Source organism: Homo sapiens, chromosome 14 (genome assembly GCF_000001405.40).
Source record: "Homo sapiens chromosome 14, GRCh38.p14 Primary Assembly".
NCBI classification, from domain to species: Eukaryota; Metazoa; Chordata; class Mammalia; order Primates; family Hominidae; genus Homo; species Homo sapiens.
In genome coordinates, this window is record NC_000014.9 from 20684115 (window position 1) to 20707678 (window position 23564).

Here is a 23564-nt window from a genome sequence, read left to right on the forward strand (position 1 = left end):
TTGTCAACTACTGAAAAAAAGTCTCCGTTAAATTTGAAACACAAACTGTCTCGCGATGGGCTGTCCTGCCAAAGAAAGCAGCAGCGAATAAGTACGTGGCAGATGGTGCTGTCGACCAGTGTCAAGACCAAGTTTCATGGGTTCCTGGACGCTCAGCCAGGGGTAGTCTCTGAAGGGCCGCCTGGCAATTGGGAGCAGAAGCCAGTTTCCCGCCATCTGCTCTCCGTGGAGGCAGTGCTCTCGCGGCTGCTGCCCGTTGGGGTCCAGCTGAGGAAGGAGCGCGGATCCCAGGCTCGTTCTTTGCCTGGGCTGCCCCTGCGGCCCCTGGGGCGGGTGCTGCTGCGGCGCCAGCTCCAAGGGCGGATCCAGGCGGGAGGGGCCTCCTCGGAGAAGCGGGGCGCGGTCCCAACTACGCAGAGGCTGGCACGCCGACCCTCCACACCTCACCACGCCCCCATCTCCGTCCGTGTACACACACTCACACAAGGACGCCAACCCCACCTAGATGCAAAGCAGGATTCAAAAGAACATCTTTGCGTTTTCTACCGGCTCCCCATCATCGTACTAGGGAGGAAGAAGCGGGTGAGAAACAAAACTTCTTTCCATTGTCCTGCCCGTTTCTGCGGACTTGTTCTGAGGCCGAGGTAGGTTCACACTCCTGCTCCTCCTCCTCCTCTCTGGTAGCTTCATAAGGGGCGTTTAGGCCGGGGAGTCCTTTCCTAGTAGAGGCAGCTTGGGACTCCTTGGGGAGGAGTTTGCGGGACGGGGCTGGAGAGGGAGGAATGGGGAGGGACGTGAAAGTCCCGTATTTGTATGAGTTAACGACTTTACATTCCCACTCAGGTTTACTTTGCGCAGCTGGGCACAGATGCCAGCTTCTATTGATTAGTAGGCTTGGAGGGGGACCACAGAATCGCCGAACCTAAGGGAAGCCCTAGGAGGCCTGCACTTGCCCACAACTAAGAAAGCTTTGCTAGTTATTCAGGCTAATCACCAGCTTTTTGAAGCAGGCCTTAGTTTTTTGCAAGCGTAACTAACATTTGGGGATCGGTGTTTTCTGTTTACTCTCCTCTGCCTCCTCACCCTTAACCCACCCTCAGCCAGTGTTGTGCAATTCTTAGAGACACTTGCCAACAGCCTCTTCTCTAAGCCTTCCTACTGGAAGGTTGGGATCCTCCGTTTTCTCGCTCTGAGACAGCACGTCAAATGCTAATAGCAGCACATGAGTAAAGCGCAACATCTTTATTAAAACAATTTCAGCACCACTCAGGGGGCTAGGGAAATCTCAGATGAGCCAAGACCCTCCCTCGTGACAGTAAAAATCTTATAATCAAGTCATAATGTAATCAGTAGAAACCCAAGGGACATCATTATCTGTGGCACAGGACCACCTTCCCAGAAGCAGCCTCAGGTATTCAAGACTTACTTAACCACAGAGCCACTAACAAGTTTTGCAAGAGGATAGGTTTATTACATACGCTTCAATTCAAGCAATTCTTTTACTGATGACAAGCAGAGTAAAATAATTTTTGAATTTATGGTAATAGTCAATGTAGGTTTCCTTCGAACAGCAACTTTCAGTGGCCCCTTTAAAGTTAGCTCTGATTGTCTAGAAAGTACTAGTATGGAATATAAAAGTTGTGTGGGCCCGGCACGGTGGCTCATGCCTGTAATCCCAGCACTTTGGGAGGCCGAGGTGGGTGCATCACAAGATCAGGAGTTCGAGACCAGCCTGGCCAAGATGGTGAAACCTCGTCTCTACTAAAAATACAAAAATTAGCCGGGCACGGTGGTGAGCACCTGTAACCCCAGCTACTCGGGAGGCTGAGACAGGAGACTCTCTTGAACCTGGGAGGCGGAGGTTACAGTGAACAGAGATTGCGTCACTGCACTCTAGCCTGGGTGACAGAGCAAGACTCCGTCTTAAAAAAAAAAAAAAAAAAAATTGTGTGGTGCATTGGAAAGCTTCCAGGCCGGCGAATGCAATGAGTTCCTTGGGCAATACATGTCTCTTTCTCTGTTCCTCAGTTGGCTCTTCTTTAATATGAGGGGTGGACAGAGTCTCAGAGGCCCCTCCCACTCTTGTTCTATGACTCCATGGAGTGGTACGATGTTAGTAACAGGACATGAGGCACTCTAGTAATGTGGAGATGAACTATCGTTTGGCAGAGAGGATGGAAAAAATCATTCCAGGAAAAGAGGAATGGCTTTAGCTATTGTTGAAAACAGATAATCAGGTTATAAGCAGGCAAGAGTAAGAGGTTTGTCAAGTTATTGTTGGAAGCATTGGTCACTGTGACTCAAATTAAAGTAGCTGGATAAAAAAGTGGACCAATGAAGGTCAGTGAAACCTTTCTTTAGGAGTTTTTATTGAATCTGTATTTAAGCAGATTCTCTGTAATTCTCTGTAAACAGTTATTCCCGGAAGAATGCCATGAAATACTTGGGAAAGAGGGAATGGGAACAAAGAGTGAGTGGGCACAAAGCCCAGAGTTGGTTGAAAAGCAAATGTTTAATTTTTGTCTTTGTTTGGAAATACAGGCATGTCAGCAGGACTTTGTCCCCACTGTCCTTCAATCAGTAGTGTTGCCTCTTCCTGGAGACGTGGTTCTTCTTGCCACGTGTGCTTTTCCTTCTTTACCTGTTACTTCCGTTATTGAATAAGTTCATGCTTATAGACCTAAAGTGTTAGAATAATAAAGAAATATAGAAATTATTTAGTCCATTCTTCCCATCATCTAATTTTATAATTAGTCCTAAGACAGAATGATACATATATACTCTGTATGAAGGAGGAAAGTGCTCTAACACTAGGGTCCTTGGAAACAGGACCCGTGCATCCCGTGTCTGTGTGCAGGGACATTATTGGCTTGAGGGAGAGAGAGAAAAAAATCTCCAGGAAAGGGGAATGACTTTCAAGTTAAAGCTGTCTGAACATTTAAAAAATATATGAGGTTTTTTGCAATTGGCGATTCCTTCATTTGTATTAAAATTACTGACAAAGATGTGATGTTCCTTAATCATAGAATATAATTCCTTGTTGTATTTTAAACACAAATGACTAAGTGCTTAGATGCATTCTAATGAAATAGTAATTTTTCCCCCAAACCCTACTTTTCATTTCAACAAAACTTCCTTGTGCCAAGTTTAAAAGAAAAACATAAAACTGTCTTTTTGCATTGTGGGCAGATTGTGTATCCTCCAAAGGTTGTCCAGTGAAGGCCCAGAGGCAGAGAAGGGACCTAACTATATTCAGAGGCTGCTGGTTGCCCCACCTCAGCACTACTGCAGAACTCTAAAATCAGAGGCTGCTCTGTTTGTGTGAGTCGGTGCTTGAATTGGTGCTTCAGGCCATGGGGCTGTGTGTGTGCAGGCGCATATGGGTTGTATGCTGTGGCAGGGTACCGCTTTTCGGGACTCAGAGGTGGTGTTGCTTGAGCTAAGCCTGGAAAGACAGGTCAGTTTTCTCCTTGCTTATGAAGGGTTCAAAGTCTGACTCCACCATTCATCTGCTGTTTGTTCTTGGAGTTTCCTCATGAGCAGAGCATATTTACATAATGCCTACCTCACACAGTCCTGGTGTTGGTTGAATGTAGTCATGTATGTGAGAGCTTCACAAAATGAAAGATTGCACTGAATATTATAATTATTGTGATTTCAAGTGCATTTGTTTTACTAGCAGGCAGCCTGTCTTTTCTTGACACCTTCTCAAGTGCAGCCAGACTGAATACTTGGCAGCTAGGTGGGTGACAACAGAGGATTGAGGATTTTTAAAAAGATAACACTGTCCTAGATCCAACACCACTGTGGGCAAATGCTGGGGGTCTGTGAAACAGTTGGTACCCTGCTGCTGTCTGATATTGGAAACTATGAGATCTATAAGGTGATCCTGGTGACCTTTGGCCCACTGTTTTTACGCAAGCAATGGATCTACAGCCCTGCTTTGATGATGGAGATAAGCAATTTTGCAACTACATTACAAGGATCAGAAGATTGAATGTTCAGGGTTAGTCTCTTGTGGACAGGTAAAGATGGAAGAAGGAGAAACCCAGGAAACATGGCAAGCCTGCTTCTGGGGGTTAGAAGCTGAGAAGTTGAGTGTAGGGGGAGGGGCAGTGTACTAATAGCTGTCACACAACCTTCTCTGGAAGTGCTTTCCTGGCTGTATGAAATCGATGGAATAACGTGCTTAGCATCCGTTCATGAAACCAAATGATGTGATACGATAAATAGGATGTGATATGATAAATGATAAATAGTACAGTGGAAAAGCATCCTACTGGAAGACCATATCTTACTCTGTGACATCTTCCAAGGCAGTTCTTGGAGTTGGCCCAGGGAGATCAGAGATGCTATCTTATGGATCCAGACTATTATGTGTGAATAGGGAAACCTCAGTCCTGCCATGAACAAGAGTAAGCACCACAGACAGCAGAAAAGGGCAACTTTTGGACAGAAGGCCATGTTTCTCAAACTTTGTCTTCCAGAACAAATCTCTAATCCATTCAGGTGGGTTAATATCTAACCCAATCATGCCCAGCGAAAAGGTGAATGACCCTCCTCGTTTGTTCAAGAGCAGTGTCCTTGGTTTTCATGTCCCTGCCAGGACTGGGACACTATATATTAGGAACACTATATAATCAGAACCTGGAGAGGCCTCCAGGTTCACACAACTGGAACCCATCTCCAGGAACAAACAGCTGGAACCCATCTCCCGTTGAAGGGAAACTGCCAGATTTTTGTAAGATTCTTCCTCCTGGGTAAACTATTGTTCAATTTGTTTTATATATTATTTCTAGCCATCCATCCATTTTAATGAAACCATTTTCCTCCCTTTAAAGCCTCCAGGCTCAAGCTCATGAATTAAAAAGAAAATGGATCAGATTCTAAAGTTTAAAATGAAAACAGGTTTCTTTTGGGATGGCCTATGTGTGGATAAAGAGAAATTAGTGAGACTGGGAGGAAGTGGAAGTTTAGGAGGGATTTCTAAATTGTGATAAAATCCCCAAAGGCCTGGGGGAGCCATTTGCTGAAGGCCATCGGGAGTCCTCCCCCGTCGTCCACCCCTGTTACAGGCATTACACGTGGCTTAACAAGGAAAGAAACAGTATGTTTTTAGCATTGTTTCCTTCTAACCTTCCCTGCTAATTTCTCTTCTTAGAAAAGTTTTGGATGCTCTTTCAAACAAAGTGGAACACATCCCAAGATCAAAAGAAGGCTCACTGGCAGGTTGAAGGGAAGAAGGAAGGAAAAGCAATAAAGGGATGAATATGCCTTGGGTGTTAGGCTCTTACTTTGGGGGATTTTGCCCTAGGATGTATAAAAGTGTGAAGCCACATTGATGAAAATGATAACTATAGTTACTCATCATAAACTGTCAAGTTAACTCCCTGGTGTGTAAAATTTGATGAATCTTTTGAATACTGAACATTGCCTGTGGGGAGAGGGAGAGAATAATTCTTGTGAATACTAACAGATTCATTTGATACAGAAGATAAAGTTACTCTAAAGAACAGTTGGGGCCAGGTGTGGTGGCTCACACCTGTAATCCCCGCACTTTGGGAAGCCGAGGTAGCCGGATCAACTGAGGTCAGGAGTTCGAGACCAGCCTGGCCGACATGGCGAAACCCCGTCTCTACCAAATACACAAAATTAGCCAAGCGTGGTGGTGGCCGCCTGTAATCCCAGCTACTTGGGAGGCTGAGGCAGGAGAATTGCCTGAACCTGGGAGGTGGAGGTTGCAGTGAGCCAAGATAGCACCACTGCGATCTAGCCTGGGCGATAGAACAAGACTCTGTCTCAAAAAAAAAAAAAAAACAGGCCGGGCGCGGTGGCTCACGCCTGTAATCCCAGCACTTTGGGAGGCCGAGGCGGGTGGATCATGAGGTCAGGAGATCGAGACCATCCTGGCTAACAAGGTGAAACCCCGTCTCTACTAAAAATACAAAAAATTAGCCGGGCGCGGTGGCGGGCGCCTGTAGTCCCAGCTACTCGGGAGGCTGAGGCAGGAGAATGGCGTGAACCCGGGAGGCGGAGCTTGCAGTGAGCCGAGATTGCGCCACTGCAGTCCGCAGTCCGGCCTGGGCGACAGAGCGAGACTCCGTCTCAAAAAAAAAAAAAAAAAAAAAAAAAAAGAAAAGAAAAGAAAAAAAGGACAGAGAACAGCTGGGACTAATTCCACTGACAAAAAGCTGACAGACAGTTACGTGTTTGGGTACAGAAGGATATATCTATAGGACTTTTGCCACCAGATGTGAGGCTTTGCACCCTTGGCTTAGGCAGATTCACTTTTACACCACAAACGATCTGTCTCTTACTGGTTTTCTCCCAATTCCATTTTACCTTGCTTTTTGAGGAATTTAGAGTTGAATATATTGAGAAAGTTTTGAGTGAGGGAGCAGATGTTAGATATTGGTGGTTTTGGTGTACGCTTGCTGAGATTTGGTTCCTGGATGTCTTAGGGAATCAAGATTACAGGCCCCCAACTAAACTTATACAAAATTTGTCTCTGTAACTGAGGGTCACTGGACCTTTGCTATTGAAACTAGCAAAGCCTCTATTATGTTTAATGAGAACCATGAAACTTCAGATTTTTAGAGCTAGCAACTCTTTTATTTTCTTGATGAACAAACCTAGGCCTGGAGAGAAAAATGAAGTCAATTACTTAAAAAATATTAAGGGTTATAATAAGGCAAGCATGTTGATTCAAGGTGAATAATATGAGTTCTGTGGAATATACACCAGTAAGAAACACTAACAAGTAAATACTTCATTGTTCATCCACGATCACGTGGGTAATGGCATGTTTGGAAATGGCACCCGTGAAACCTGACAACAGGTCGGTCTTTATTTTGTGATATCCTTATGGGTAGATTCTGAACTTTGTGGCTTTTACTTTGGCACTTATATCTAATGAGGTGTCCTTGGTCTTAATATCTAATGCAGAGCGAGTTTGGACAGAGATTCTAAACAGGTTCACCAGCTCATACTCCCTTCTGTGAACAGCAATATCCCCACAAGTTATACAGCATTGGCACCTCCTGCAAGTACGGTATTTCCTAGAGAAGACATTAGTAACATTCCTATCCACCACTGCCACCTAACGACTCTTTTAGGTACTAGCAGCTCTGGTTCCGTTTCCTGATTTCTGATTTCTGGGATTCTGGCACCAGGCAGAAGAATGTTGACTGTGTAAGGCAGACCTTTGACATTAGAAGTCAGTATTTGTTCATTACAGAGCAAGAGACTTAATTGATTACAAATCAATAAAACTTTAATAAGATCTTCCAAAAAACTAGAAACAGGAAACACACCCAGGAGACTGAAAAGCATGATGTAAATGTGAAGAACGTGGCAAGTGGGTGGCTTGGCAGCCCAGCAGCTATACTGGAGCAGCTGCATGAGTGAATACTTGTTACTCCTTTAGGGCTGGCTCTCCATTCTACAATCATGTACCTCTTTCTTGATAAACTCCCAAGAACACACTTTCAGCATGGAATTTCAGACTTTTAGAGATAGCAACTCTCTCAAGTATGGACAAATGTCGGTGCGGACAAATTTGATGCACTGCTGAAGAATACCAAATAATATGCTAAGGAATTTTTTCATTCCACAATAATGGAGTAAATAGCAGCTGGAAATGTTTGCATTAAGTTCATAGATTATAATTTGTAATGGAATCAACACCAAATGCAAATTAGAAAGAGAGCCCACTTTGCTCACCCAGTCACGTCTTCCCATGTAACCATAGAACATTGGGGTCCTGTGTCTTTCTAGATCCACAGTCTTGCTCTCAGAACAGGCTAGCCACACCACAGGCCTAGTGCCAGGACCCATGGCCTTTTTTTAAGCTCAGACTCCCTTCTGTGAACAGCAATATCCCCACAACTTGTACAACATTGGTGCTTCCTGCAAGGGCTACAGAACTATTTGATACGAAAATGTTCATTGACTTACACACAAGAGAAGCACAAAATAAAAAATTAATAATTAATTTAATGTCTTTGAAAATGTACCATTTATTTTTACATTTGGGGTCATAAGAATTGTATTACACTTAAGAATGCAATACAATTTGAAGATCAGATTTTTCTCCCTTTGTGAGAATTTCTCAGTATGTGTGATGACTACCAAGAAATCATAGCCAGTCATAAATTCAGTGAGTTACTCATAAACGAACAAGAACCACCTACTTCTTGGGGAGGTAGGTCTGCTTCCCTTCAACTCAGGATACAACTGCTTTCAACTGCTTTCTTCACATTAGCTGACTAATTAGCTAGAAGCCTGTCGTAAACAATTTTATGGTTGACTCCTTCCCTGGGCTCAGGGTTCCCTAGAACAGAGGTCCCCAAATCCCGGTCTGTGGCCTGTCCGCCTAAGCTCTGCCTCCTGCCAGATCAGCAGGCAGCATTAGATTCTCATAGGAGCTGGACGCCTATTGTGAACTGCGCATGTGCGGGATCCAGATTGTGCACTCTTTATGAGAATCTAACTAATGCTTGATGATCTATCTGAACCAGAACAATTTCATCCTGAAACCATCCCCCACCAATCCATAGAAATACTGTCTTCCACAAAAATGATCCCTGGTGCCAAAAATGTTAGAGACCACTCCCCTAAAACTCTCTTCTTAGCTCTCACCTCCTGTATTACTATCTCATCTCAGTACATTGAAGCCCCCATCTTTTCCCCATGGATGCCTCATTTCCTATTAGGGAGGCATTTTTTTATTTTTTGTTTTTATTTTTTTCCGAGACGGAGTCTCGCTCTGTCGCCAAGGCTGGAGTGCAGTGGCGCGATCTCGGCTCACTGCAAGCTCCGCCTCCCGGGTTCACGCCATTCTCCTGCCTCAGCCTCCCGAGTAGCTGGGACTACAGGCGCCCGCCACTACGCCCGGCTAATTTTTTGTATTTTTAGTAGAGACGGGGTTTCACCGTGGTAGCCAGGATGGTCTCGATCTCCTGACCTCGTGATCCGCCCGCCTTGGCCTCCCAAAGTGCTGGGATTACAGGCGTGAGCCACCGCGCCCGGCCGTCATTTGGTATGTCTTAATGTGCCTCAGGACCTAGCACAGTCCCTGGTACCCAGTAGAGACCTATGTAATGTTCATTATTCAATTAATAAATACATGAATTAAAGAGTGAGAGTGGATTTTGTAATGTTACGACTGATAGAGAAATACTCAGTGATTCTAAGGGATGGGGAAGAACGGTTGGAGCTAGAGGTTGTGCTCAGGAAACTATTAAATAGACGTTCCGCAGGAAGGGATTGACGAAGTGTGAGGTTAATGAGGAAGGGAAAATAGAATATAAAATTTGGTGGTGGAAAAGATCTGATTCATGATGCCGTGTCAGAGAGCAAAGCTCCTGTCCTTTTGGCCTAATTTGGTGATGCTGTTCTTGGGTCTACCACACCTCCTTTTGCCCTCCGCAGGAGCCTGTGTTGGAAGAGATGGTGATGGGCCTGGGCGTTTTGTTGTTGGTCTTCGTGCTGGGTCTGGGTCTGACCCCACCGACCCTGGCTCAGGATAACTCCAGGTACACACACTTCCTGACCCAGCACTATGATGCCAAACCACAGGGCCGGGATGACAGATACTGTGAAAGCATCATGAGGAGACGGGGCCTGACCTCACCCTGCAAAGACATCAACACATTTATTCATGGCAACAAGCGCAGCATCAAGGCCATCTGTGAAAACAAGAATGGAAACCCTCACAGAGAAAACCTAAGAATAAGCAAGTCTTCTTTCCAGGTCACCACTTGCAAGCTACATGGAGGTTCCCCCTGGCCTCCATGCCAGTACCGAGCCACAGCGGGGTTCAGAAACGTTGTTGTTGCTTGTGAAAATGGCTTACCTGTCCACTTGGATCAGTCAATTTTCCGTCGTCCGTAACCAGCGGGCCCCTGGTCAAGTGCTGGCTCTGCTGTCCTTGCCTTCCATTTCCCCTCTGCACCCAGAACAGTGGTGGCAACATTCATTGCCAAGGGCCCAAAGAAAGAGCTACCTGGACCTTTTGTTTTCTGTTTGACAACATGTTTAATAAATAAAAATGTCTTGATATCAGTAAGAATCAGAGTCTTCTCACTGATTCTGGGCATATTGATCTTTCCCCCATTTTCTCTACTTGGCTGCTCCCTGAGAGGACTGCATAGGATAGAAATGCCTTTTTCTTTTCTTTTCGTTTTTTTTTTTTTTTTTTTTGAGATGGAGTCTCACTCTGTCGCCCAGGCTTAAGTGCAATGGCACAATCTCGGCTCACTGCAACCTCTCTCTCCTGGGTTCAAGTGATTCTCCTGCCTCAGCCTCCCAAATAGCTGAGATTACAGGCATGCACCACCACACCTGGCTAATTTTTGTGTTTTTAGTAGAGACAGGGTTTCACCGTTTTGGCCAGGTTGGTCTTGAACTCCTGACCTCGGGAGATCCGCCCACCTTGGCCTCTCAAAGTGCTGGGATTACAGGCATGAGCCACTGAGCCGGGCCACTTTTTCCTTATCAGTCAGTTTTTACAAGTCATTAGGGAGGTAGACTTTACCTCTCTGTGAAGGAAAGTATGGTATGTTGATCTACAGAGAGAGATGGAAAAATTCCAGGGCTCGTAGCTACTAAGCAGAATTTCCAAGATAGGCAAATTGTTTTTTCTGTCAAATAATAAGCTAATATTACTTCTACAAATATGAGACCTTGGAGAGAAGTTTCCAAGGACCAAGTACCAACATACCAACAGATTATTATAGTTTCTCTCACTCTTACACACACACACACACATATACACATATGTAATCCAGCATGAATACCAAAATTCATTCAGGGTAGCCACCTTTTGTCTTAAGCGAGAGATAATTTTGATGTTTGAATGGAATGCTCCCAGGATATTCTCTTGTCATGGTTATTTTATATAAAATTCAAAAACCAATTACATTATTTCCTCTGTAATCTTTTACTTTATCAACTAATGTCTGGCAAGTGTGATGTTTTGGGGAAGTTATAGAAGATTCCGGCCAGGCGCTGTGGCTCACGCCTGTAATCCAGCACTTTGGGAAGCTGAGGCGGACAGATCACGAGGTCAAGAGATCAAGACCATCCTGGACAACATGGTGAAACCTTGTCTCTACTAAAAATGTGAAAATTAGCTGGGCGTGGTGGCACACACCTATAGTCCCAGCTACTCGGGAGGCTGAGGCAGGAGAATCGCTTGAACCTAGGAGGCGGAGGTTGCACTGAGCCGAGATCACGCCACTGCACTCCAGCCTGGGCGACAGAGCGAGACTCCATCTCAAAAAAAAAAAAAAAAGAAAGATCCCAGTTTATCCCAGTTTATCCCTTATTCTTCCTCAATTCTCAAGATTTGTTTTTAAGTTAACATAACTTAGGTTAACACACTCTTTGTAAAATACACTGTTCAATCTACAGACTCAGTGGTTAGCTTCCTGTTAACTAATTTCTGTTGACAGGTACTTGGATATTTTATTTAGAAAGTGGTTGCCAATAAATTAGTTATAAGTCGCCAGTTTCACTGCCTTGTGAACACATAATTATTGTGGTCTCAGTATTCCCTATGGTGGCTTCTCCTGCTCCTGGTATTGCCCTGAAATGGGCCAAAAGCCGTGGCTCCCCAATACTCAGGTTATAGAACATTGTCCAGGTACCACCTAGGAGAGCCCAGCCTCACTGAAAGTATTCAAATTTAGGAATGGGTTTGAGAAGTAGGTAGCTGGTATGTGCTTAGCACAAGAATCTCTCTTCCTTGGGTTAGTCTGTTTCAAAACTGAAAACACTGTCATTCCTTAAGAAAATAGGAAAAAGTATTCCAAACCTCTGTCACTAGAAAATTTGCCATATTACCAAATCTCAAAAACCTCTCAGGAAATGAGAAAGTCCCAGTTTCTGGTAAACTATTTGGGCCCTTTTCTCAAGTTCTCCAACCAGTGCTATTTCCTTGAGGTGAGGCAAAGTTACTCAAGATCATCGCTGCCACTCAAGGCCTTGATAGGGCAAGTGAAAGGCATGGACCATTATTATATTGATCACAGCATAAGCTGTGAAAACCCACATCTTCTCCAAACATCTGCTTGGAGCATTATCATCGCATAGTTTGCTCTGGTGTTCAGGGAAATCGCTGTTTCATAGGAAATCACATGGCAGTGGGATGGGAGTGTTTCCTGACCTGCCGATGGTACTGGCACCTGAGCAAGCATTCCTAGTCCTTTTTGGTCTGGGCCTCTTGTTCTATCACAACCACAAGCTGTTTAAAATAAAACGTCAAGTCACAGGCAGGTCATTTTATCCTGCGTGAATCAATTGAAGAATTGAAGTCCTGGTCAGCTGTGATTGTTGGCTTTGCAAGGAAAAAGAAGGAACACTCCAAAATGCTAAATGCTTTGAAGAATAGTGACATGCAAGGAAGAAAATTCCATGCAATTTGGAGAAGAAACATTTTTCTAGGAATCTAGTAGCTGAGATATTTTATAGTTTAAAAACAGACTTCCAATATCTTGAGAATACAGTTAGCTCTACGAAATAAAGAGGAGTCAATAATATATGCAACTCTGTAGTCATTCATTATTTTATCCAGATTGACAGAAGCAGAGGAAACCAAGAAAAATGGAAGTGGTAAAAAAAAAAAAATGCAGTAATTGCCAATATTTACTGAGCATTTACCCTGTGCTAGGCCTTGTTATAGGCGCTTAGATTGATTTTCTTTTCATAACATCCCTAAGAGGTAGGTATTACATGCTCATTTTGCTTATGAGGAAATCTGCTGAGAGAGATTAAGTAATTTTCTCATGGTCACAGCCTCAGTCTTTTAGACCACGGTGTCAAAAGAAGTTCTTACTGTGAGTCAGGGTGGTGCAGTGGAGAAAGCGTTTGGGGAAAATCCTGACCCAAAAGTGTGCGTTGGGATGATGTGGAGATCATTCAATTTTCTCTTGTAGCTACAGCTTTGAGATGCACCCATTGGTATCCACACTGGCCTGCTGTCCTCAAATATTTCTCTATGTCTTGTTTACTTGAGTAGTGCAGAAAAGCTGACGTCCTGGGTCTGCTCTCGCATGCATAGGTGAGGTTTTCTCTGTAGCTAGTCATCTTGCTAAACCATATTTTTGGTCACAAAGAATCAGGATGAGAGAAAGTAGATAAAACCATGGAAACTCGAGGTGCCACCGGAAGAGCAAACCAAAGTATATTGATCTGCTGAAGCTATAATCCAAGTACTAAGTATACCTTCAGAAGTTGTATGCATTGTTCTTGGGGCAAAAAGGAAATCAAACATCTGCCCTTCCTCCCACAACCTCTTTACTTCCCTCTCTTCCTAACACTGTATCTCACATCTACAGCTGCAGGCACACAGATATGACATACAGCTTGATATCTTTATGTGCAAAGGCAAAAGATGGCTATGGATATAGGAGGTGGCATTTAAAAGAACAATATCCATGTTTGATACTGCTTTCATTATCAATAATGAAAAGGTAGCCTTTCAGCAGAACAAAGTAAGGTACAGGTCGTTTGGAAGCCATTTCAGTCATTCACACAGTGTGATCCACCATTACGAAGCAGAATTTGAAATCAAAAGACAATAGTACCCATATACATCAAACTAGGAGTTCAACTGGGGTCAGTCCTTGGACTGCACATACAGAGTTGGGCTGCCTGACTCTCAAAACATTGCCCTTGCTAATTTGCGTTGCTCACTTCCTATTGAATCAGGGATGATTTTTCTTTGCTGTAGTGAATCAGCCCTGCTACACTGCAAGAATCAAGCCGATTCACAATTCACATCAATTCCAGGAGTGACGGCCAGATGGCAGCATCTGGCTAGTCAGTTGGTGAGTGAGTCCACCTCCAGTCTTGATTAAACTCTGCTGCTGGGAAGTAGCAATTCTGAGCATAAATGTCTTTGATATCCTGAATATTTTGGGTGTGGGATGAGAGAGGCAGTAGATAGTGGAAAGAGCACAGGGTGTAGACTAAGATAGGCCTGGATTCCTTTCTTTAATCTGTCAATGAAAGCAATGAATGTTCTGAAACTACATGGCAATGCTTTTTTTGTTGCCACTCTGGCTTTTTTTTTTAATGCTATAAAATATATGCCTATTTTTCACTGCCAAGAGGTGACAACACAATGATGCTGCAACCAGAGAAGACAGACAGCTACCAACAACTATTGACAAGACAGAAGGAACATCAAGAATAGATGCAAGACAAAGCAATGTATCTCCATGGCCTAGATTTTTTAGGTTATGCATAGAAACAGCAAGGAGAAGAAGACACAATCCAAGTTTTCTTTTGAGAATATTGTGCTGTTTAAATTTATTTTTTAAACATTTCTTAGCTTTTCTTATTAGTCAATTTCATAAGCCTGGGAAACATCTTTACTCTATCCATTTAATTGCATTTGTTCATTAGCTTACTCATTTCACTTATTAGTTCATTCAAACAGTAGCTATTATCAACTGTCTTCTAAGAACTGTAACTGGGTATTCTGGTTTTGCTTTTTTTTAAAAAATAGAATTAAAAGGATTTCCAAAAGGACCTGATTTTACATTAGAATTAGAATAATACATTTTAAATTAATGTATAACATATATTATTCTAGAATTAGAATAGATTTTAAATCACATTAGAATAATAGCCACATGACAAAAAAGAAAAGAAAAATAATAAAATTAATGACAAAGAAAAACAATAGTCATGTGAGAGGAAAGGCAAAGCCTAAATATTCCTCTGTCCTCTTCCTCCACCTAGATTCCCAGATGTAAGGTATTAAAAGTAGTTTGTAAACTTTCTGTGACGTATGCTGAGTCTATCCAAACTGTCGGGAATTGGAGCCTCCCGGGAACCAAACACTCCCCAAAGATCATACACCTACGGAGTTCCCCCAAGAGACACACAACTGCAGTTTCATGTAGGTTCACCTTTTCTCTCTTTTTATACTCTGTCCACACAAACCTGGCAGCCACGCAGTCAGTCCCTGCCCTGTGTCATTGTACTGGCCACAGCAACTTCTCTCTGTAAATGAGAAAGGTCTTGCTTTCAGAAAAGATCATGTTTGCAAACTACTCACTCTTGAGGAAGAAGGGTGGGAAAAGTAGCAGAGATGAGTGGGGAGATGGTGCATATAAGAAGGAGGAAAGAGGAGACTATGGAGTCAGGATGCCGGCTTGCTATTCTCAACACCTTTTTCCAGTGCCCAGTTCTTACCTTATTTCTCCTGCCCCTTGCTTTCTTTTCTAGGCACCTCTAAGATACTGATGGCTCTGCAGAGGACCCATTCATTGCTTCTGCTTTTGCTGCTGACCCTGCTGGGGCTGGGGCTGGTCCAGCCCTCCTATGGCCAGGATGGCATGTACCAGCGATTCCTGCGGCAACACGTGCACCCTGAGGAGACAGGTGGCAGTGATCGCTACTGCAACTTGATGATGCAAAGACGGAAGATGACTTTGTATCACTGCAAGCGCTTCAACACCTTCATCCATGAAGATATCTGGAACATTCGTAGTATCTGCAGCACCACCAATATCCAATGCAAGAACGGCAAGATGAACTGCCATGAGGGTGTAGTGAAGGTCACAGATTGCAGGGACACAGGAAGTTCCAGGGCACCCAACTGCAGATATCGGGCCATAGCGAGCACTAGACGTGTTGTCATTGCCTGTGAGGGTAACCCACAGGTGCCTGTGCACTTTGACGGTTAGATGCCACCATGTAGGGATTATCGCGAGTGGTTGACCTTACACTTACTCCTTAAATAGCAGTGAGTAATGCATTTGAGCTGTCCCAGGCTCTGTCTCCTCAGCTCATTTCCTACTCTTTTTCTCTATATAACTCATTCTATTAAATACATTGCACCAAAGAGATATGGAGACATAAACCTGTAATGAATGAGGCTGGGCTTTTCTGTAATAAGCTTCCTTTTATAATACTGGTCAGCTTAGCTCTCTCAGATCCTATCCTGTGGAATTTAGTTATTATGTGTATTTATGTAGTATTTCAAACATTTCAAAATGCTTTCATCTATGTTTATCACATTTTAATACCACAGCACTTATAATGATGTCACTACATATAGAAGCTCAAAGTTAAGGGATTTGCTGAAGACTGTAAAGTTAATGGAAGAATTGAGACAAAAATCCAGTGTAGCTGGCCACTTATCCAGGGCTTTTTCTACTTCATCACAAGGAATGTTTTGAAAGTGTCTGCTTTTTTTATCCTTAAAATTCACCTGTCAGGGAGGCATTAAAAATTTGGAAATGTATGCCAGCAAAATGTGAGCTCTGTATTTTTTGGCATTCTTATGTTTGGGTTTAATAAGATTAAGAAAATGATACTGGGAATTTTCTTTTTCCTGAAACTTTGAATCACCCTAGTAAGTCAAAGTACTAAAAAATGTACTAGATCATTAAGACTTATGTGCTCTTACTGATTGAAAGATTTTTTATGTTTTCCTTGTAATAAAGGACCTAAACCGAAGGTACCTGAGAAGACTGTGCTATGGTATTATTTTTTTTCTCTGACTTTTAAATTCTTGTTTAGTTTATAAACATGCATGCACCTTAATAACCTCATAAACTCTGGTCAAAGACTAATGCCTATCAGATCCATGACCACAACACAGAAGATTTGTCTCATTTACTCCAGAGAGAATGATTCCTCTCAAAGACAATTCTCACAGCTCTTCCTTCTCCCTTAGAATATTTAGAAGCAAATTAGGGAGCTGTCAGGTCTCTGAGCCCAAGCCTGCACGTATACATCCAGATGGCCTGAAGCAACTGAAGAACCACAAAAGAAGTGAAAATAACCAATTCCTGCCTTAACTGATGACATTCCACCACTGTGATTTGTTCCTGCCCCACCTTAACTGATCAATTAGCCTTGTGACATTCCTTCTCCTGGACAATTAGACTCAGGAGCTCCCCACCAGAGCACCTTGTGACCCCCGCCCCTGCCCGCTAGAGAATAACCCACTTTGACCGTAATTTCCCACTACCAACCCAAATCCTATAAAACTGCCCCACCCCATCTCCCTTTGCTGACTCCTTTTTTGGACTCAGTCTGCCTGCACCCAGGTGATTAAAAAGCTTTATTGCTCACACAAAGCCTGTTTGGTGGTCTCTTCACATGGACGCGTGTGGCATTTAGTGCCGAAGACCCAGAACAGGGGGACTCCTTCAGGAGACTGGTCCCCTGTCCTCGCCTTCACTCCATGAGGAGGTCCACCTATGACCTCAGGTCCTCAGACCAACCAGCCCAAGGAACATCTCACCCATTTCAAATTGGGTAAGCGGTCTTTTCACTGTCTTCTCCAGCCTCTCTTGCTACCCTTCAATCTCCCTGTCCTTCCAATTCCAGTTCTCTTTCCTCTCTAGTAGAGACAAAGGAGACGCATTTTATCCATGGACCCAAAACTCAGACACCAGTCACGGACTCGGGAAGATAGTCTTCCCTTGGCGTCTGATCATTGTGGGGATGCCTGCCCTGATCATTCACCCACATTCCATTGGTGTCTGATCACTGTGGGGACACCTGCCATGGTCATTCACCCACATTCCCTTGATGGCAAGTCAATCGCGGGATGCCTGCTTTGGCTGATCGTCCACGTTATAGCCCAGGGCTGCTCACCACCCCCTTTGCTGTGTCTCTACCTTTCTCTTTAAACTTACTTCTTCACTGTGGGCAACCTTCCACCCTGCATTCCCCCTTCTTCTCCCTTAGCCTGTGTTCTCAAGAACTTAAAACCTCTTCAACTCACACCTGACCTAAAACCTAAATGCCTTATTTTCTTCTGCAATACCGTTTGGCCCTAATACAAACCCAACAATGGTTCCAAATGGCCAGAAAACGGCACTTTTGATTTCTCCATCTTACAAGATCTAGATGATTTTTGTCGAAAAATGGGGAAATAGTCTGAGGTGCCTGACATCCAGGCATTCTTTTACACATCAGTCCCTCCCTAGTCTCTGCTCCCAATGTGACTTGTCCCAAATCTTTCTTCTTTCTCTCCTGTCTGTTTCTTCAGTCTCCACCCCAAGCTCTGAGTCCTTTGAATTCTCCTTTTCTACAGACCCATCTGACCTCTTCCCTCCTCCCCAGGCTGCTGCTCACCAGCCAGGCCAAGCCAGGTCCTGATTCTTCCTCACCCTCTGCTCCCCCACCCTATAATCCTTTTATCACCTCCCCTCCTCACACCTGGTCCAGCTTACAGTTTCATTCCATGACTAGCTCTCCCCAACCTGCCCAAAAATTTCCTCTTAAAGAGGTGGCTGGAGCTGAAGGTACAGTCAAGGTTAATGCTCCTTTTTCTTTATCCAACCTCTCCCAAATGAGTTAGCATTTAGGCTTTTTTTTTTTTTTTTTTATCAAATATAAAAACCCAGCCCAGTTCATGGCCCATTTGGCAACAACCCTTAGACACTTTACTGTCCTAGACCCAGAGAGGCCAGAAGGCCGTCTTATTCTCAATATGCATTTTATTAGTCAATCCACTCCTGACATTAACAAAGCTCCAAAAATTAGATTCTGGCCCTCAAACCCCACAACAGGACTTAATTAACCTCGCCTTCAAGGTGTACAATAATAGAGAAGAGGCAGCCAAGTGGCAACATATTTCTGAGTTGCAATTACTTGCCTCCACTATGAGAGAAGCCCCAGCCACATCTCCAGCACACAAGAACTTCAAAATGCCTGAACTGCAGTGGCCAGGTGTTCCTCCAGGACCTCCTCCCCCAGGATCTTGCTTCAAGTGCTAGAAATCTGGCCACTGGGCCAAGGAATGCCTGCAGCCCGGGATTCCTCCTAAGCCATGTCCCATCTGTGCGGGACCCCACTGGAAACCGGACTGTCCAACTCGCCCAGCAGCCACTCCCAGAGCCCCTGGAATTCTGGCCCAAGGCTCTCTGACTGACTCCTTCCCAGATCTTCTTGGCTTAGTGGCTGAAGACTGACGTGGCTCAATTATCTCAGAAGCCTCCTGGACCATCACAGATGCTTTCGGTAACTCTTACAGTGGAGGGTAAGTCCATCCCCTTCTTGATCAATATGGAGGCCACCCACTCCACATTACCTTCTTTTCAAGGGCCTGTTTCTCTTGCCTCCATAACTGTTGTGCATATTGATGGCCAGGCTTTTAAAACTCCCCAACTCTGGTGCCAACTTGGACAACATTTTTTATGCACTCCTTTTTAGTTATCCCCACCTGCCCACCTCCCTTATTAGGTTGAGACATTTTAACTAAATTATCTGCTTCCCTGACTATTCCTGGGCTACAGTCACACCTATTCCCACCCTTTTCCCCAGTTCACATACTCCTCTTCTGTCTCCCTACCTTAATCCACAAGTATAGGATACCTGTGCTCCTTCCTTGGTGACCGATCATGCACCCCTTACCATCCCTTTAAAACCTAATCACCCTTACTCCTCTCAATGCCAGTATGCCATCCCACAACAGGCTTTGAGGGGACTAAAGCCTGTTATCACTTGCCTGTTACAGCATGGCCTTTTAAAGCCTACAAGCTCTCCTTACAATTCTCCCATTTTACTTGTCCAAAAACTGGACAAGCCTTACAGGTTAGTTCAGGATCTGCACCTTATCAACCAAATTGTTTTGCCTATCCACTCTGTGGTGCCCAACCCGTACACCCTTTTGTCCTCAATAAATTCCTCCACAGCTCACTATTCTGTTCTTGATCTTAAAGATGCTTTTTTCACTATTCCCCTGCACCTGTCATCCCAGCCTCTCTTTGCTTTTACCTGGACTGATCCTGACACCCATCAGCCTCAGCAACTTACCTGGGCTGTACTGCCACAAGGCTTCAGGGACAGCCCCCATTACTTCAGTCAAGCCCTTTCTCATGATCTACTTTCTTTCTGTCCATCTGCTTCTCACCTTATTCAATATTTTGATGACCTTCTACTTTATAGCCCCTCCTACAAATCTTCTCAACGGGACACCCTCCTGTTCCTCCAATATCTGTTCTCAAAAGGATATCATGTATCCCCCTCCAAAGCCCAAATTTCTTCCTCATCTGTTACCTATCTCAGCATAATTCTTCATGAAAACACACGTGCTCTCCTTGCTGATTGTGTCCAGCTGATCTCTCAAACCCCAGTCCCCACCACCAAACAACAACTCCTTTCCTTCTTAGGCACTGTTGGATATTTCCGATTCTGGATATCAGGCGTCGCTATCCTGACGAAACCACTTTACAAGCTCAGAAAGGGCAACTTAACTGATCCCATGGACCCTAAGTCTTTTCCCCATTCTTCTTTTCACTCTCTCAAAAACGCCCTGGAGACCGCTTCCACACTAGCACTCCCCGACTCGTCCCATTCTTTTTCCTTACACACAGCTGAAATACAAGGCTGTGCTGCCAGAGTCCTCACACAGGAGCCAGGCCCGTGACCTGCTGCCTTTCTATCAAAACAACTTGACCTCCCAATTCTGGGGTGGCCCTCATGTGTGCATGCAGCAGCAGCCACAGCTTTAATACTTCTGGAAGCCCTCAAAATTACAAGCTATGCTCCACTTACTCTCTACTGTTCCTGTAACTTTCCAAATCTATTCTCCTCCTCACGCTTGACACGTATACTTTCTGTGCCCCAGCTCCTTCAACTGTACTCACTATTTGTTGAGTCTCCCACAATTACCATTGTTCCTAGTCCAGACTTCAATCCAGCCTCTCATCTTATTCCTGATACTGCATCTGAGCCCCATGACTGTATCCCTCTAATCCACGTGGCATTCTCCCCTTTTCCCCATATTTTCCTCTTTCCTGTTCCCTACCCAGACCACACTTGGTTTATTGATGGTAGTTCTTCCAGGTCCAATCGCCAATCACTGGCAAAGGCAGGCTATGCTATAGTATCTTCCACATCTATCATTGAGGCTACAGGCCTGCCCCCTTCTGCTACCTCTCAACAAGCTGAAATCATTGCCTTAACTCGAGCCCTCATTCTTGCAAAGGAACTACGTGTCAATATCTATACCAATTCCAGGTATGCCTTCCACATCCTTCACCACCATGCTGTTATATGGGCAGAAAGAAGTTTCCTCACTACACAAGGGTCCTCCATCATTAATGCCTCCTTAATAAAACCTCTTCTTAAAGCTGCTCTACTTCCAAGAAAACTGAGGCCATTCACTGTAAAGGCCAACAAAAGGCATCAGATCCCATCACTCAGGGCAATGCTTATGCTAATAAGGTAGCTAAACAAGCAGCTGGCGTTTCAACTTCTGTCCCTCATGGCCAGTTTTTCTCTTTCTCATCTTTTCACTTTACATTTCCAGTTTCGCCTTACACAAGGTCTCTTCTTCCCCTGTGGCTCCTCCCCTACATGTGTCTACCTGTTAATTAGACAGGCACATGCACACTAGTTTTCCTTACCCCCAAAAATCAACTTGCAAATGGGACCCAAGAGCTTCCTGTTCCCCTCATGACACCAACACTTCACTACTATTTTGTTTTGTTTTTCTTATTATTAATATAAGAAGACAGGAATATGCCCTTGACTTACTCACTGCTGAAAAAGGGGGACTCTGTATATTTTTAAATGAAGAGTGTTGTTTCTACCAAAATCACTCTGGCCTAGTATATGACAACATAAAAAAAACTCAAGGATAGCGCCCAAAAACTCACCAACCAAGCAAATAATTATGCTGAACCCCCTTAGGCACTCTCTAATTGGATGTCCTGAGCCCTCCCAATTTTTAGTCCTTTAATACATGCTTTTCTCCTTCTCTTATTTAGACCTTGTGTCTTCTGATCAGTTTCTCAATTCATACAAAACTGCATTCAGGCCATCATCAATCATTCTGTATGACAAATGCTCCTTCTAACAACCCCACAATATCACCCTTGATGCCCAAATCTTTCTTCAGTTTAATCTCTCCCACCCTAGGTTCCCATGCTGCCCCTAATCCCACTTGAAGCAGCCCTGAGAAACATTGCCCATTATCTCTCCATACCACCCCCCAAAATTTTTGCCGCTCCAACACCTCACCACTATTTTGTTTTGTTTTTCTTATTAATATAAGAAGACAGGAAATGTCAGACCTCTGAGCCCAAGCCTGCAAGTATACATCCAGATGGCCTGAAGCAACTGAAGAACCACAAAAGAAGTGAAAATAGCCAGTTCCTGCCTTAACTGATGACATTCCACCATTGTGATTTGTTCCTGCCCCACCTTAACTGATCAATTAACCTTGTGACATTCCTTCTCCTAGACAATGAGTCTCAGAACCTCCCCACTGAGCACCTTGTAACCCCTGCCCCTGCCTGCAAGAGAATAACCCACTTTGACTGTAATTTTCCACTACCTACCCAAATCTTATAAAACTGCCCCACCCCATCTCCCTTTGCTGACTCCTTTTTCGGACTCAGTCTGCCTGCACCCAGGTGATTAAAAAGCTTTATAGCTCACACAAAGCCTGTTTGGTGGTCTCTTCACATGGACGCACATGACAGGAGCAGAGATATATGAAGATGCTAGCTGCTTAAGAAGGGAAGTGTGAGTGTGTGTGTGTGTGTGTGTGTGTGTGTGTGTGCACATGTTTAAGGGCAAAACTGACAAAACTGAAAACATTTGAATTACAGCAGATACAGAAAGAAATCTTACCTGAACTTCTCTCACCTGACTAAAGCAGAGCCTCCCAGAAATGCCCCCACCATTATCTCCCTCCGGAGGGGTCCTCATGTAATGGTAATAGGTCTTTTGCCTGATGTGCACAGCATGTCAATATGCCAAGACACTGGGTTGCAGCAGAGAAAGAGGTTTAATTGCAGGGCTGCTGAACCAAAAGATGGAAGGAAACCTCAAATCCATTTCCTCAAAGAGTTTGAGGCTGTTGTTTTTAAGGATTTGGAGTAGGTGGAAATAAGAGATCACTAATTGGTTGAAGAATGCAGAGTGAAGTCATGGGACAGAGAGATGAAAAAACAGTATTCTCATGCTGATCAGTTCATCAGTTGGGCTCTTTAAAGTTGGTGGTGTCAGCTGTTCTGCCGGAATTCAGGATCTGCATAAACAATTCTTAAACAAAAGCCTTATGATTCTAATGTCAAAGATCTTATCTATGGGAACAATGAGAATGCAAATTATCAGTAGCTAGTGTTCGTGAGTTTTGGTTACAAGGAAGTGGGTCAAAGTGTAGCCTGATTAACACTTACTCATAATTATATTTTTGTCCAGGATTCTTGTTAACCGTGTGAGGATTACTTCACCCAGACAGGAGATATTCCAAGAAAATTGTGTAAAACTTTATCCAAAGCTTCTATTTGTCTTTCCCAAAAGTCATTTGTTTTCCTATAGAAGTCATTTCTCCCTCCTTCTTTTCCCCTATGAGTTGATAACTAAACTTCTGTCTCTAGCTCTTCATCAAGCCTCTTCATCTGAATGCTTCCACAAGTTATGAATACAACTTGTTTTCTTTCCCCCTGCTAACCTGTCTATAGTTAATTCACAGGCTCCCACCCACTGAACCAAAGTTGGTAGAGGGAAAGTTTTCCCTCCTAATAGCATGTCTGTGTATATTTAGAGTGAGAAAGAAGGATGAAGAGATAATT

At 43.9% G+C, this 23564-nt stretch overlaps 2 protein-coding genes and 1 long non-coding RNA gene across 11 annotated transcripts, besides 3 other annotated features; 2 read left to right on the forward strand and 1 right to left on the reverse strand.

The window, feature by feature from the left end:
• Nucleotides 63-10072, forward strand: ANG (angiogenin). 6 transcript variants are annotated; one of them, NM_001385271.1, is made up of 3 exons: nt 446-644; nt 8917-9040; nt 9433-10069. In NM_001385271.1, exon 3 carries the CDS (start codon nt 9451-9453, stop codon nt 9892-9894), a length of 444 nt encoding a protein of 147 aa, NP_001372200.1. In that variant the 5' UTR covers nt 446-644; nt 8917-9040; nt 9433-9450; the 3' UTR covers nt 9895-10069. The 6 variants fall into 6 exon arrangements, with proteins under 6 accessions (NP_001136.1, NP_001372200.1, NP_001372202.1 ...); NM_001385272.1 differs by lacking the exon at nt 446-644 and adding an exon at nt 4650-4760 and having other exon boundaries at nt 8920-9040; NM_001145.4 differs by lacking the exon at nt 8917-9040 and having other exon boundaries at nt 63-644; nt 9433-10072.
• Nucleotides 248-367: a silencer, noted in NCBI's record as "silent region_5574". NCBI's record gives its function as "represses an Ori minimal core promoter by ATAC-STARR-seq in GM12878 lymphoblastoid cells {active_cell/tissue: GM12878}" and the evidence as "EXISTENCE:reporter gene assay evidence [ECO:0000049][PMID:35858748]".
• Nucleotides 446-17102, forward strand: RNASE4 (ribonuclease A family member 4). Of its 4 annotated transcripts, NM_001282192.2 has the most exons (3): nt 446-644; nt 9433-9536; nt 15241-17102. In NM_001282192.2, the coding sequence occupies exon 3, from the start codon at nt 15258-15260 to the stop codon at nt 15699-15701; it is 444 nt and encodes a 147-aa protein (NP_001269121.1). In that variant the 5' UTR covers nt 446-644; nt 9433-9536; nt 15241-15257; the 3' UTR covers nt 15702-17102. The 4 variants fall into 4 exon arrangements, with proteins under 4 accessions (NP_001269121.1, NP_002928.1, NP_001269122.1 ...); NM_002937.5 differs by lacking the exon at nt 9433-9536; NM_001282193.2 differs by lacking the exon at nt 9433-9536 and having other exon boundaries at nt 446-582.
• Nucleotides 598-737: an enhancer, noted in NCBI's record as "active region_8093". NCBI's record gives its function as "activates an Ori minimal core promoter by ATAC-STARR-seq in GM12878 lymphoblastoid cells {active_cell/tissue: GM12878}" and the evidence as "EXISTENCE:reporter gene assay evidence [ECO:0000049][PMID:35858748]".
• On the reverse strand, nt 9366-22827 carry EGILA (EGFR interacting lncRNA). The gene is made up of 4 exons (NR_174964.1): nt 22633-22827; nt 15208-15384; nt 14922-15015; nt 9366-9635 (listed from the first exon to the last, which is right to left on the reverse strand). It is a non-coding gene; the product is annotated as an EGFR interacting lncRNA (long non-coding RNA).
• Nucleotides 15537-15702: a silencer, noted in NCBI's record as "fragment chr14:21167810-21167975 (GRCh37/hg19 assembly coordinates)". NCBI's record gives its function as "represses an EF-1alpha promoter that drives an FKBP-Casp9 reporter gene in an ReSE screen in phorbol 12-myristate 13-acetate-treated (for megakaryocytic differentiation) K562 erythroleukemia cells {active_cell/tissue: K562(+PMA)}" and the evidence as "EXISTENCE:reporter gene assay evidence [ECO:0000049][PMID:32094911]".
• Nucleotides 22828-23564: the final 737 nt, after the last annotated feature.